We start from the raw sequence: 12,048 nt of genomic DNA on the forward strand, positions 1-12,048 counted from the left end.
TGGGAAGGATCGTCAGACATAAAAGCACTGGATGGGTGGTAGCTACTTCTGAAGAGGCTGTTGAAGATTTAACAAGACCTTCAGGGCTGCTGCATTGCTTATTTCTTTCTCTTTGTTATGTGTGTGTCTGTCATTTAGGGAAAAACCCCGTGAAACTTATATTTAGAGTGGAGAAGAGGGACAGCATGGGGAGGTGGAAAGAACATGATCTTTGAATTAAATTCCATATCTGCCACTAACTGTGTGATCTTGTTCACATTCCTTAACTGTTCCAAGTATCAGTGGGTTTATCTGTAAACTGGGGAGAAAAATATTCATGTCATAGATTTGGTAGAGATTAAAGGAGCTAATGCTCAGAAAGTACTTAGCATGGGGTTCAGCAGTGTTACTTTCCTCTTTTCTTGGATCTGATAGAGCACAGAGAGGATAAGGCCTTGGGGGAGTGGGGAGAAGTAAGAGGGAGTGGATCAAGTAGGCTCTGGCCCCACCTAACATGGTCTGAATCTCAGCTCTGCCCATTACCAGTGGTACAATTTTGGAAAAGTTAACTACTCTAAACCCCAGTTTTCTCTAAAAAGAGAATATTACCTGTTGGATTTTATGGATATAAAATGAGAAAGGGTATGGGTGCACCTATCACAGTGCCTGACATCTAGTACATATGTTCTTATCACCCTTCTGTCCCCCAGTGTACTTATGAATAAGTAGACCACAAAGTTTATTTTATAGAATGTGGTGTAGATATACTGTTGAAATTGGGATAAATTATGTTTCAGAGAATAGAGATTTGGGGAAATGAGAGATTGTCCCCCTCTATGTGACTGGTGATCATGCCCACTACACCCTGCAGGTTATATAACTAAGTCGCTTTCTTGGGAAAGCACTCTTGATAAAACTTACTGTTTGGACTGGTTCCAGGAGGTCATCCTTGGTTATTTGCTGAGAGCATGAATCACAGCTTAGTCATAGAGGTATTTGCAAGGTGCACATGAAGTCATAGGACCAGGGTGTTTTCAGAATGTGATTTGCACTGTCAGATTCCATTGTATCTTCTCTAGCTTCTTGATCGTTGGAAAAAAAGATTGGCCCTTGGGTTTTCAGGCCACTTTGGCTGATCAAGCCAGAGCCTGGTAAATGATAAACGCCACATTTTTGTCTAATTTGCAGTTGTCTATATTTTTCTTGGTTTGTTTGCTCAGTTGGCAGAAAGTAATGTTCAGATGAAACAGACCTGCCTTTGGAGGCAGAAACATTAGGGGTTTATTTTTCTGTATTCGTTTATCTATTCATCAAAGTATTTGAGCGCTTACTGTCTTCAAGATAGCATGTTAGGTGCTGGGGATCCAATGTTCTGTGACAGGATTCTCGCCCCCTGTTGTCTCCTTATCTGGTAAGGGTGATAGAAATTTTTAAAATGTTGTTATATGATAAGAAAAGTGTCAGTAAGGTACCATGGGAGCACAGAAGAGGAAGCGTTAAATTCTGCCTGCAGAGAGGAAGGTGAGGGAAGATTTCCCTGGTTCTTAACTAGACTTGTCATCAGAATCACCTGGGGAGTTTTTTGCACATACACATACCTGATTCTTAGGGACTGGAATGGCTCAGACTTTTGGATTTTTAGGAATGTCTTCCGGATAATTCTGTTGCCTACTGCAGCTATGCACCACTGCAAAGTGATGGGGAACCTTCGAGGATTTAAACAAGGAAGTGATGGGCTCAGAGTGTGTTTTAGAAAATTCACTCCGATGGCAGTTTGTGGAGGGTGCGAAAGACCTGAAATGGAAAGACCAGCAAGCCAGCGATGGAGCCTTGACCTGAATCTGTGATCCTGAGCAGCAGTGTAGCCTATCATTTAGGGATGCTTTTGACTAACTGTGGCTTAAGCAACAAAGATATGTAATTATTTTGCATATGAAGTAGTTTGGGGTTAGGGATGGTGCCGTTTAAAGGTCAGCTTGGGGTTCTAGGTCAGCATCACTGTGATCCTCTTGGCTTTTCTCTTAGGATTGTGAGAGAGAGAGTCTGTTCTGTGATTATCTATTGTTATATCACAGCATAGCCCCAATATTTAGTGGTATAAAACAACTGTTTGTTTTGCTGACAGATTCTGTGGAGTAGGAATTCAAACAGGGCAAAGTGGGTCCGGATTACTTCTGCTCTACAATTTCTGGGGCTTTTATTGGGAAGACTTGAACAACTGCAGGCTAGAATCTTGTAGAGGCTTTTAAAATTTTACTGTCTGGTGCCTTTACTGGGGTGGCTCAAGGGAAAAGCTCAGCAGAGACTGTCAGTCAGAGCACCTACACTTGGCTTCTTTCTGTGGCTTGGGCTTCTCGTAGCTGGCCCACTTAGGGCTATTGAACTTGTTACATAGAAGCTCAGGGATGCAAGGCAAGTGTTCCAGCTACAGAAGTTACATAGCACATCACTTCTGCTTGGCTCTGTTACTGAAGCAGTCACAAGCCTGCCAGATTAAAAGAGCGGTACATAGGTCCCACCTGCCTGTGTTTTGAAACCACCAGAGTCAGAGCTCTATTTGGCATCACCCTGTGACAGCGTTGCAAGCATTAAGAAAGGGTGCAGCTAGAAAAGTCCAAAGGTCCTTTCATCAGAGAGGAAAACTGCCCAGATCCTCCAATCTGACTTCCCTTGTGGCCTCCTGGATAGCACTGGGTCACATGGTGTGGGCCTCCTTAGCTGGAAGGGACACCAGGAAAGTGAGTACTCAGCAAAGGGACAGGATTGCCAGGATTGCCATCAAACACATCATGATTCATCCTCTGGGGCTGGCAATGCCACTACCCAAACAAAGTCAGATTTCTGTTAAAAAGAAAGAGAGGGAAGGGGCCAGGGAATGGCTGTTTGTTGGGTCAGTGAAAATGCGTTGTCACAGATGGCAGTGTGAGGTGCAAAAAGCCTTCTGTGATCAAATATGTTTGAGAAATGCTTCCTGCTTCTTTCTTCTCTTGGAAACTTAAAATGCACGTTAACTTATTGAAAGCTCTAAGAAGTCCTGTAATAAATCAGCTTAACTTGGCTATCCTAGCATTTAATTTTTCAGAGCAACACTTTCTAACATGGAACTTCTATTAATAAGGATGAAAGTTTTCTTTTCTTTTCCTTTTTTTTTTTTTTTTTTTGGGGATGAAGTTTCGCTCTTGTCGCCCAGGCTGGAATGCAACAGTGTGATCTCGGCTCACTGCAGCCTCCGCCTCCTCCTGGGTTCAAGCGATTTTCCTGCCTCAGCCTCCCAAGTAGCTGGGATTACAGGCATCCACAACAATGCCCAGCTAATTTTTGTATTTTTAGTAGAGACGGGGTTTCACCATGTTGGTCAGGCTGGTCTGGAACTCCTGATCTCAGGTGATCTGCCCGCCTTGGCCTCCCAAAGTGTTGGGATTATAGGTGTGAGGCACCACGCTGGCCAAAAATTTACTTTTTTGAATGCTGTCTTAGTTTGGGCTGCTATGAGAAAGTACCGTAGACTGAATGGCTTATAAACAATAAGAATGTGTTTCCTACAGTTCTGGAGGCTGAAAGTCCGAGACCAGGATTCCAGCATGATCGGGTTCTGGTGAGGACCCTCTTCTGGGTTGTGGACTGCCACCTTGCTGTATCTGTATCCTTACAGGGTGGAAAGAGCAAGCTAGCTCTTTGGCCTCTGCTTATAAGTGCACAAAACACAGTCATGAGGGCTCCACCCTTACAACCTAAATGCCTTCCAAAGGTCCCATCTCCCTCTAAGTACCATCCCATTGGGGATTAGGCATCAACATATTAATTTTGGGAGAGCACATTCAGTCCATAAGAAGTATGCATTTGTAGTGGTATAACAGACCATTTGTAGTGATATAAGAAGCATACTTGTCTCCTGCAGTTACTTATATTCATTTATTTATTCAGCAAATGTCTACTGAGTAACCCACATGCTTGACAGTGATGAATATCAAGTAGTCTAAGTTGAGCAACACGTGGTCCTAGTGCTTGAGGGGATCTGAATCAGTTCTGGGAGAAGTTAGGGTGGATAAATTGTGGGCATAGTGCAGCAGAGCCTGGCTGGGGTGAGGGGTGGGTGGAGCAATACCTGGCTGGAGGAGCTGTGAGGTGACCAGTCTTGAAGCATATGGATTTGCTAGGTATGCTTGATTTTTGTTAGAACTAAGAACCTCAAAGTGAATCCAACTTGGAAATCCACACATTAAATCTAGCAGGTTAAATACTTTTTAATTCTTTAAGTAGAATATTGGATGACAATGACCTACCAGGCAAACTGGTAGATTCTGCATTTCTGGGCTCTTCCAATGGGGCAGGCAGGAAGCCTTGCCAGTCATTTGCCTATTTGCATTCAGGACCATTCCCTACTGTCCTTCCTCTGCTCTTCTCTGTATCACAGGGAACTACATTTCCCAGCTTCCCCTGCCAATTGCTTTTGGTATATTTGACTAAGGAGAGTGTTATGGACTGAATGTTTGTGTCCCCTCAAAATTCATATGCTGGAGTCTAATCGCCAATGTGATGGTATTTGGAGGTAGGGCTTTTGGGAGGTAATTAGGTCATGAGGGCGAATTAGTACCCTTATAAAAAGAGACGTGAGAAAGATGATCTCTCTCTCAGCCATGTGAAGATACTGGAAGAAGGCAGCTGTCTACAAGCCAGGAAGAGGGTCCTCCTCAGACATCAGATTTGCCAGTGGACTTCCTAGCCTCCAGTACTGTGAGAAATATATCCTGTGTTTAAGCCACCTAGGCTATGGTATTTTTCTTACAGGAACCTGAACAGATTAAGACAGTGAGGTACTAGCAGAAGACTCAAGGAGGAGGGAAGAGACCATAGTTTTCCTCCTTTCTCTCTCTACCTCAGACATGCCTTCTTCATGGCCTCAGCTCTTTCTCAATAGACCCCGCCTCCATGGTCCCAGTTCTGCTGGTCAACTCCACCATGGTCTGGTCCCCATCAGACAGCTCTGGCTTTAGGCTCTGGTGACCCTGCCTTCCTTCTCTTTCGCTCTGACCTGCTGTTGCTAATTTTCAGAGTGCCCCAGCAAACTTCTGTTTGGCTTCTTGACGCTTCCATCCCTGCATAAACAATCCCTTTATTATATTACTTTGATTAAAATAACTAGATAGGTTTTCACTTTCCTGACTAAGTTTTGAGTGATGCAAAGCCCCAACACACTTAATTTACTTGAGATTATTGTCTCAGAATACTTGTTTTCATTGGTCAGTATAATTCTGAGATCATTCTTTTCTTTTCATTCATAAAAGGAGAATTGAAACATTAGTCCTGGTCTTGATAAAATGCTTTTGGGACTTGACTTCCATTGCTTGGTTGACTGAGGTGGCCTTTTCCCTCCCTTTTCATCAACATTTGTTTTCTTTTTTTTTTTTTTTTATATTAGCACAAACACATTTATTTATTAACCAAAGGGATGATCCTAATTAATCCAACACACTTTGAAATAGCTGCATGTAAAATGTTTATGATAAAGATAATTGAACACAGTAATGAAAAAAAAAAGAAAGAAACAGTATGGAGATTTGCTCATTGAACTGAGCTTGGTCATTCTCTTAATTAACTCCTGTCCAAAGTGATGATGGAATTTTTATTCTACTTTTTCATAGATCCGAGTACAGGTGACATTGTTCATGACACACTCCACCACTAATTTCCCATCTTTCAATTTTCTTGTTATTGTGCTTTCCTTCCCATCCCACTCCTGATGCTGAACCAATGCACCATCTGTAAAGTTGCAGACAGTCTGAGTTTTTCTGCCATCAGCTGTGGTTTCTTCAAACTTCTCTCCCAGGGTACAAGAAAACTGTGTTGTTTTCAAAGTGCTCTCAGTTTTTATGGTGAGGTTTTTACCATCACAAGTGATGATACAATCTGGCTTGGCCATTGCGCCCATTTTTCGCAAAGCTATTCCCACTCCTAGCTCCTTCATGTATTCATCAAAGCCTTTGCTGTCCACCAGGCGCCATCTTCCTTCCAGCTGCTGAACTGTGGCCATGGTGGGTGCGGGCGGGCTGGCGTGCAGAGAGCAACATTTGTTTTCTAAAGCAAAGAAGCAAACAAATTAAAGAGGACTTGACTGAGCAGCTCTAATATGAAGACTGCTTGGGATTCTGTCATTTTTTGGGGAAAGTGAAGGTGTATAAATTGTGAAAAGGAGGGATCATTTGACAGTTAAAATCACATTGCTCTTGTCACCTCGCAATAAGTTTTCAATACGTAAATATGCAGCAATTAATGCTCAACTAGAGGTACAAGGTACCTGGGAGTTTAGGAGAGGCCGAGACTAATTCTTAGGGAGAATAAACAGAGCTTTTTTGCTTAGCCTTCCATCTTACCCCATGCAACCTGCCAGTTCCACAAACTAGTACTTTCTCTGCTTTTCCTTGTTTAATTAGATTCCACTGGCTAATTAGGTCCAGAAGGAAGAGGCCATCCAGATCTCGAAAATAACTCCTTCCTTTTAGTTATAGTTATTAGTATAATATAGTAATTATATTTGGCCACGCCCAACATGTAGAGTGATTGACTTGGGTGTTGACCTTAGATTTCCTTGGGTGGCTACTGATGAGGTCAGACTGTTTTATTAAGACTTTTTTACAGGATTGCTATGAGGATTAAATGAGACATGCCTGTAAATGCACTGCATAGTACCTGGCATATGACAAATGTGCAGTAATTGCTGGCATTTTTGTATTTATCATTGTCATCACCTAACATTTATTGAACATGTACTTTATGTTAAACATTTGGCATGTATTGTCTAATTTAATCTTCACAAAAACTCTAAAGTGGGAGTTGTGATAATTCTCATTTCACAGATGAGAGAACTGGTGCTTAGGGACACTTACAGGGTGCGTTCAAGGTCATAAAACTGCTAAGAGAGATGGAGCAGAAACTGGAACCTGGTCTGTTTGATCTTAATTCCTTAAATCCTATATTATCTGGATTCCCGTATTACTAACAAAGCATTGAAAAGTACATTTTAGGCTGGGCCTGGTGGCTCATACCTGTAATCCTAGCACTTTGGGAGGCCGAGGTGGGCGGATCACTTGAGCTCAGGAGTTAGAGACCAGCCTGGCCAACATGGTGAAACCTTGTCTCTACTAAAAATACAAAAAAAAAAAAAAGGTTGGTGTGGTGGCGGGTGCCTGTAATCCCAGCTACTTGGGAGGCTGAGGCAGGAGAATCACTTGAACCCGGGAGGTGGAGGTTGCAGTGAGCCAAGATCATGCCACTGCACTCTAGCCTGGGCAACAGAGCAAGGCTTTGTCTCAAAAAAAAAAAATTAATAAACAATGTGCAATGAGAAGGCACTGGGAATATATTAGCTGTAAATTTTACATGGTGATTTAAAAAAAAACACTTTTAGATGTCAACACTTGGTCAGCAATACTTCTTGAGGGCTCATTTTGTAAAAAGCTTTCTATAGGGAGCGGTGGTGAGAAGACAGAGAAATAAGGATGATCTCTGTGAAAGGCAACTGATCCATTCTCCCAAAACAGTGGATTGAACATGCACATTAACCTGATGTGAGCTGAATATGCATGAACTTGGGAGAGAAGATATAGGAGCCTTCCTTAGGCGTTTACCTGGTTCAGGAGACAGGATTTAGTATTCCTGAGTTCAAACCTCAGTTTTGCCTCTTTCTGCAGTATAACCTGGAGTAAATTTCTCTACTTCTTTGAGACTCGATATTCTCATATGTATAAAAAGGAGATGATGATGGTAGCCTCATAGAAGTATTGTGAAGTGCATAGCATCATTTCTGATACAAGAATATGTTTAGTCAATTTTAGTTCTTAAATATATGAATATGCAGAGTAATTTTAGATGTCAGTATACTTAACCCCAGACAAACACATGCAATAGCCCTTAAACTTTTAGATTGGGCACTTGTCAGTTTCCTATACCCCTTCCCTGCAATTGCCTCATGATTTTTTGATTATGTGGCAAATGCACAAAAGGAAACCACATGTAGCTGCCATTTCACACCATTAAATACTCAGAAAGTCACCTTTGAGGAAAACCAGTACTTCTAAGAAAAAGCAAAGCCACGAAGTTCAAAAAAAGAAAGCTCTATGGTTGGCCACTTGCCCATCCTGAGGTCCCAAAAAGGTCCTGTGATTATTTGGTGAACTGACTAAATTGCTGTGAAATCAGATTCCCTGAAATGCCTCCAAATAGAAAGGTTGATGCGGTCAGAGGAAAGAGACCAGCTACAGTGGGTGGAGGATGGGTGGGGTGGAATGGAGTGCTCCCTGGGCCTGGGAAGTCCCGTAGGCAGGTTGCGGATAGAGCACCCAGGACCAGTTCTCCTGTGCATAGGGCAGGGTGAGTATCAGCCATCCAGTCTCCAAATGCCTGTAGTGACACTGAGCCTGAGGCCTGCCAGTCTCATCCTAGAAACTTCCTATCTCTTCCTGTGCTTCTACCATTGACTGAACTTTGGGTCAGAATACTCTTCAGTTTATAAAATAATTTTCCAGATGAGAGAATTTCTGTGACAACCAATCTGTTGAACATGCAAAATCTAAGTCCTTCATGACTTGTTAAAATTTAAAATTTGATAAACTCATTTAAAAATGTTTAGTGTGTTTTCTTCTAGAAAGCCTTTTTCCCTCCCTCAATCCTGTAAAACAGTGTAATTGCTTTGGCAAGACAGTTATGTGGTGGAACTGGAAACCATGGTGTGATGCAATGACATGAGTTCTAAGAGGGGCCAGTAGATTCTGAGGTGGTCACACCCCTAGAGTCTGTGAGTGTATTAGTTTGTTTTCATGGTGCTGATAAACACATACCTGAGACTGGGCAATTTACAAAAGAAAGAGGTTTAATGGACTTTCAGTTCCACGTGGCTGGGAAAGCCTCACGGTCATGGCAGAGGTCAAGGAGGAGCAAGTCACGTCTTACATGGATGGCAGCAGGCAAAAAGAGAGCTTGTGCAGGGAAACTCCTGTTTTTAAAACCATCAGATCTTGTGAGACTTACTATCATGAGAACAGCACAGGAAAGACCCACTCCCATGATTCGATTGTCTCCCACTGGGTCCCTCCCACAACACATGGGGATTATGGGAGCTACAAGATGAGATTTGGGTCGGGACACAGAGCCAAACTGTATCAGTGAGTATCATAGGTTGTAACAGAGGCCTTTTTTATAGCTGGGTAGGGCTGGAATGCTGCTAAACAGTACAGATAATTAAAAAAATTAACTCTTCAATCTAATGGAAAAAAGCTTCCCAGTTGGAGTGTGGAGGGCACTATTTGCATGCTGTCCCTACCACTAGCTATGTGACCTATAATTTCTTTAAACTTGTTTCCTCATTTGAATAATGGTACTGGTCCAGTCTTATAGGTTGCTTTGTAAACTCTTAAAATGCTTCACAAATATTTGGGTAGTTACCTGTATGTATGTTTACACTCCCATGATATTATTACATTGTAATTTTATTCTACATCTTTCAGCAAGCAGCTCTACTCTTAAACTCTGGCACATCTAAGCCAATATATTTATAGAGGGGAAAATCCTGTGCTCCAGTGGCAAAAGTACTGATTTGAGGGCTAGAGAGCTCAAGTATTGTTTCTCCTATTTTCTTTCTTTTCCCTTTTTTTTTGTTTGTTTTTGAGACAGAGTCTCACTCCGTTGCTCAGGCGGGAAATGCAGTGGCATGATCATGGCTCACTGTGGCTTCAACCTCCCAGGCTCAAGGGATCCTCCGTTTTAGCCCCCTGAGTAGCTGGGACTACAGGGGCATGCCACGATGCCTGGCTGATTTTTGTATTTTTTGTAGCGACGGGGTTTTGCCATGTTACCCAGGCTGATCTTGAACTCCTGGGCTCAAGTAATCTGCCTGCCTCGGCCTCTCAAAGTGCTGGGATTACAGGTGTGAGCCATTGTGCCTGGCCTCTCCTATTTTCTATTGAATATGAAGAGCTATAATCAGGTTTTGAAAAAGGTGAAGTGTCCACAGGAAAAGAGGGATGCTGGAAGCTGCATATGCATTGAGTTTTATTTTTGTTGCATCTCAGATGTTAGGATCCTACTGTATGACATTTTACAAGATTTCTGTTTGTCAATTGTTGCAATGTTGATGTGCCCTTCACTTTGAGAGTGAAGCAGATAGACCCTACAGGTGCTGAGGTCTCTCCTTCCTGCCCTGCTCCCTGTACATAGGCTTCCACTGCAGCAGGGCTGTGGTACCAGTGGCATGGGCACCTATGAAGCGGGGAGCTGAGGCTGCAGTCAAAGCTCACACAGGAATGTCTGACAGTGGCGTTCTACCTGGGAATGAAGTGCTGCTGGAAATATTTTATGATACTCACAGCCTTGTACAATCAGGAGCCTTAGAAATATGCAGAAATGGGCTGTGGCTCGAGCTACTGGGTCCTGATCGTCTGAGGAAATCAGTTAGTACAAGAACATATGTGTCCTAGAGAAGCTTGGGCTGTCTCCTGAGACCTTCATTGCCTAGTATCTCTCTTTTTCTCTCCTTGTTTTCTTTATCTGTTTCTTTCTTTCTTTTTTTTTTTTTTTTGAGGCAGTCTCGCTGTGTCGTCCAGGCTGGAGTGCAGTGGTGCGAACTCGGCTCACTGCAAGCTCCACCTCCCGGGTTCACGCCATTCTCCTGCCTCAGCCTCCCGAGTAGCTGGTACTACAGGCGCCCACCATCACACCAGGCTAATTTTTTTTTTTTTTTTGCATTTTTTAGTAGAGACGGGGTTTCACTGTGTTAGCCAGGATGGTCTTGATCTCCTGACCTCATGATCCATCTGCCTCGGCCTCCCAAAGTGCTGGGATTACAGGCATGAACCACCGCGCCTGGCCTATCTGTTTCTGTCTTTCTCTTCCTCTCATTCTGTGTTTTTCACTCTCTAGGTTTGTTCTTTTCCTTTCACTTCTTTCTTTCCTTCCTTCCTTTTTCCCCTCTCCTTCATCCTCACTCTTTTCTGTTCTCACTTTTTGGGCTTTAAGGCTCTGCCTGCTAAGGTCTGCTGATTCTCCCCCTCTGATCATTCTTCATGGTTTTTCTTAGCTCTTCTTGACTTTGGCCTGAATCCTTTCATCCAAAGTGGGTGAATGTATTACTCTTAGGGAGCAACAAGTATGGATTTTTAACAACTGTTCTGTTGAGATTACTTTATCTGACCATGGAAAGGGTACTCACTGGGCAGCTGAGGACTTTAAGTCATTATCTTCTTCCACAAACCCAGAAGATGGGCAGCTTTCACCAGCAGCTCTGCCAAACGTTTATCTCAGCCATGGACCTGTACTTCCTCTTTGATGATGAAGGTTATTGTCTTTCTGATTATAGATTGAGGAAACTCGGCTTAACATTGACAAGATCTCAGAACATGTAGAGGAGGCTAAGAAACTCTACAGTATCATTCTCTCTGCACCGATTCCAGAGCCAAGTGAGTGTTTACTTAGAACTGAGTCATCCAACAATCACCCTTTCCTTGGAGCTGAGCCAGCCTTGTTTTCTTGCCCTTCGTGAGCAGTAGGGAAGTGTACAAGTTACAGGGCACTAGTGTACATATTATCTCATTTCCCTCCCCTTTACCTTACCTGAGCTCCTACTGCCTGGCCACAGTCAAGGTTTTGTCTTCATGGTCCCACTCCAACCATTTAGCTAGACTTTCCTGTTTCCCAGCTAGTCCCTCTTCCTGACTGGCGACGATTCCCACTGCTGCTTACATACCCTGTGCCCTGTCCCTCCTCTGAGCCTCTGCGTGTACTATTTCCCCAGCCTGAACTGCTTTTCCTAGCCCTCTTTCTGAATCCTACCAGATCAAGTCCATTTTTTCTTTCCATGAGGTGTTCCAAAATGGTTCGAGTTCACAGAAATTCCTTCTATCCCTAAACTCCTGTTTGTTACCACCACCTAGGCAAACGTTTTTTCTCCCCTAATTGTTTGCATGGGTGTCCAACCTTTTGGCTTCCCTGGGCCACATTGGAAGAAGAATTGTCTTGGGCCATACATAAAATACACTAACACTAACGATAGCTGAAGCGCTGAAAGAAAGGTTTGTGCAT

General features: G+C 43.0%; 1 protein-coding gene and 1 pseudogene across 17 annotated transcripts in view; one reads left to right on the forward strand and one right to left on the reverse strand.

The window, feature by feature from the left end:
* The window catches only part of STX3 (syntaxin 3), a 51,691-nt gene that overhangs the window by 21,523 nt on the left and 18,120 nt on the right, over positions 1-12,048 (forward strand). For all 17 annotated transcript variants that reach the window (XM_047427501.1, NM_004177.5, NM_001440524.1 and 14 more), the window contains exon 3: positions 11,327-11,426. In XM_047427501.1, the coding sequence (XP_047283457.1) occupies positions 11,327-11,426 (100 nt within the window). The remainder of the gene's footprint in view (positions 1-11,326; positions 11,427-12,048) is intronic.
* Positions 5,395-6,041, reverse strand: FABP5P7 (fatty acid binding protein 5 pseudogene 7; annotated as a pseudogene).

This window comes from Homo sapiens, chromosome 11 (genome assembly GCF_000001405.40).
Source record: "Homo sapiens chromosome 11, GRCh38.p14 Primary Assembly".
Taxonomy (NCBI): domain Eukaryota; kingdom Metazoa; phylum Chordata; class Mammalia; order Primates; family Hominidae; genus Homo; species Homo sapiens.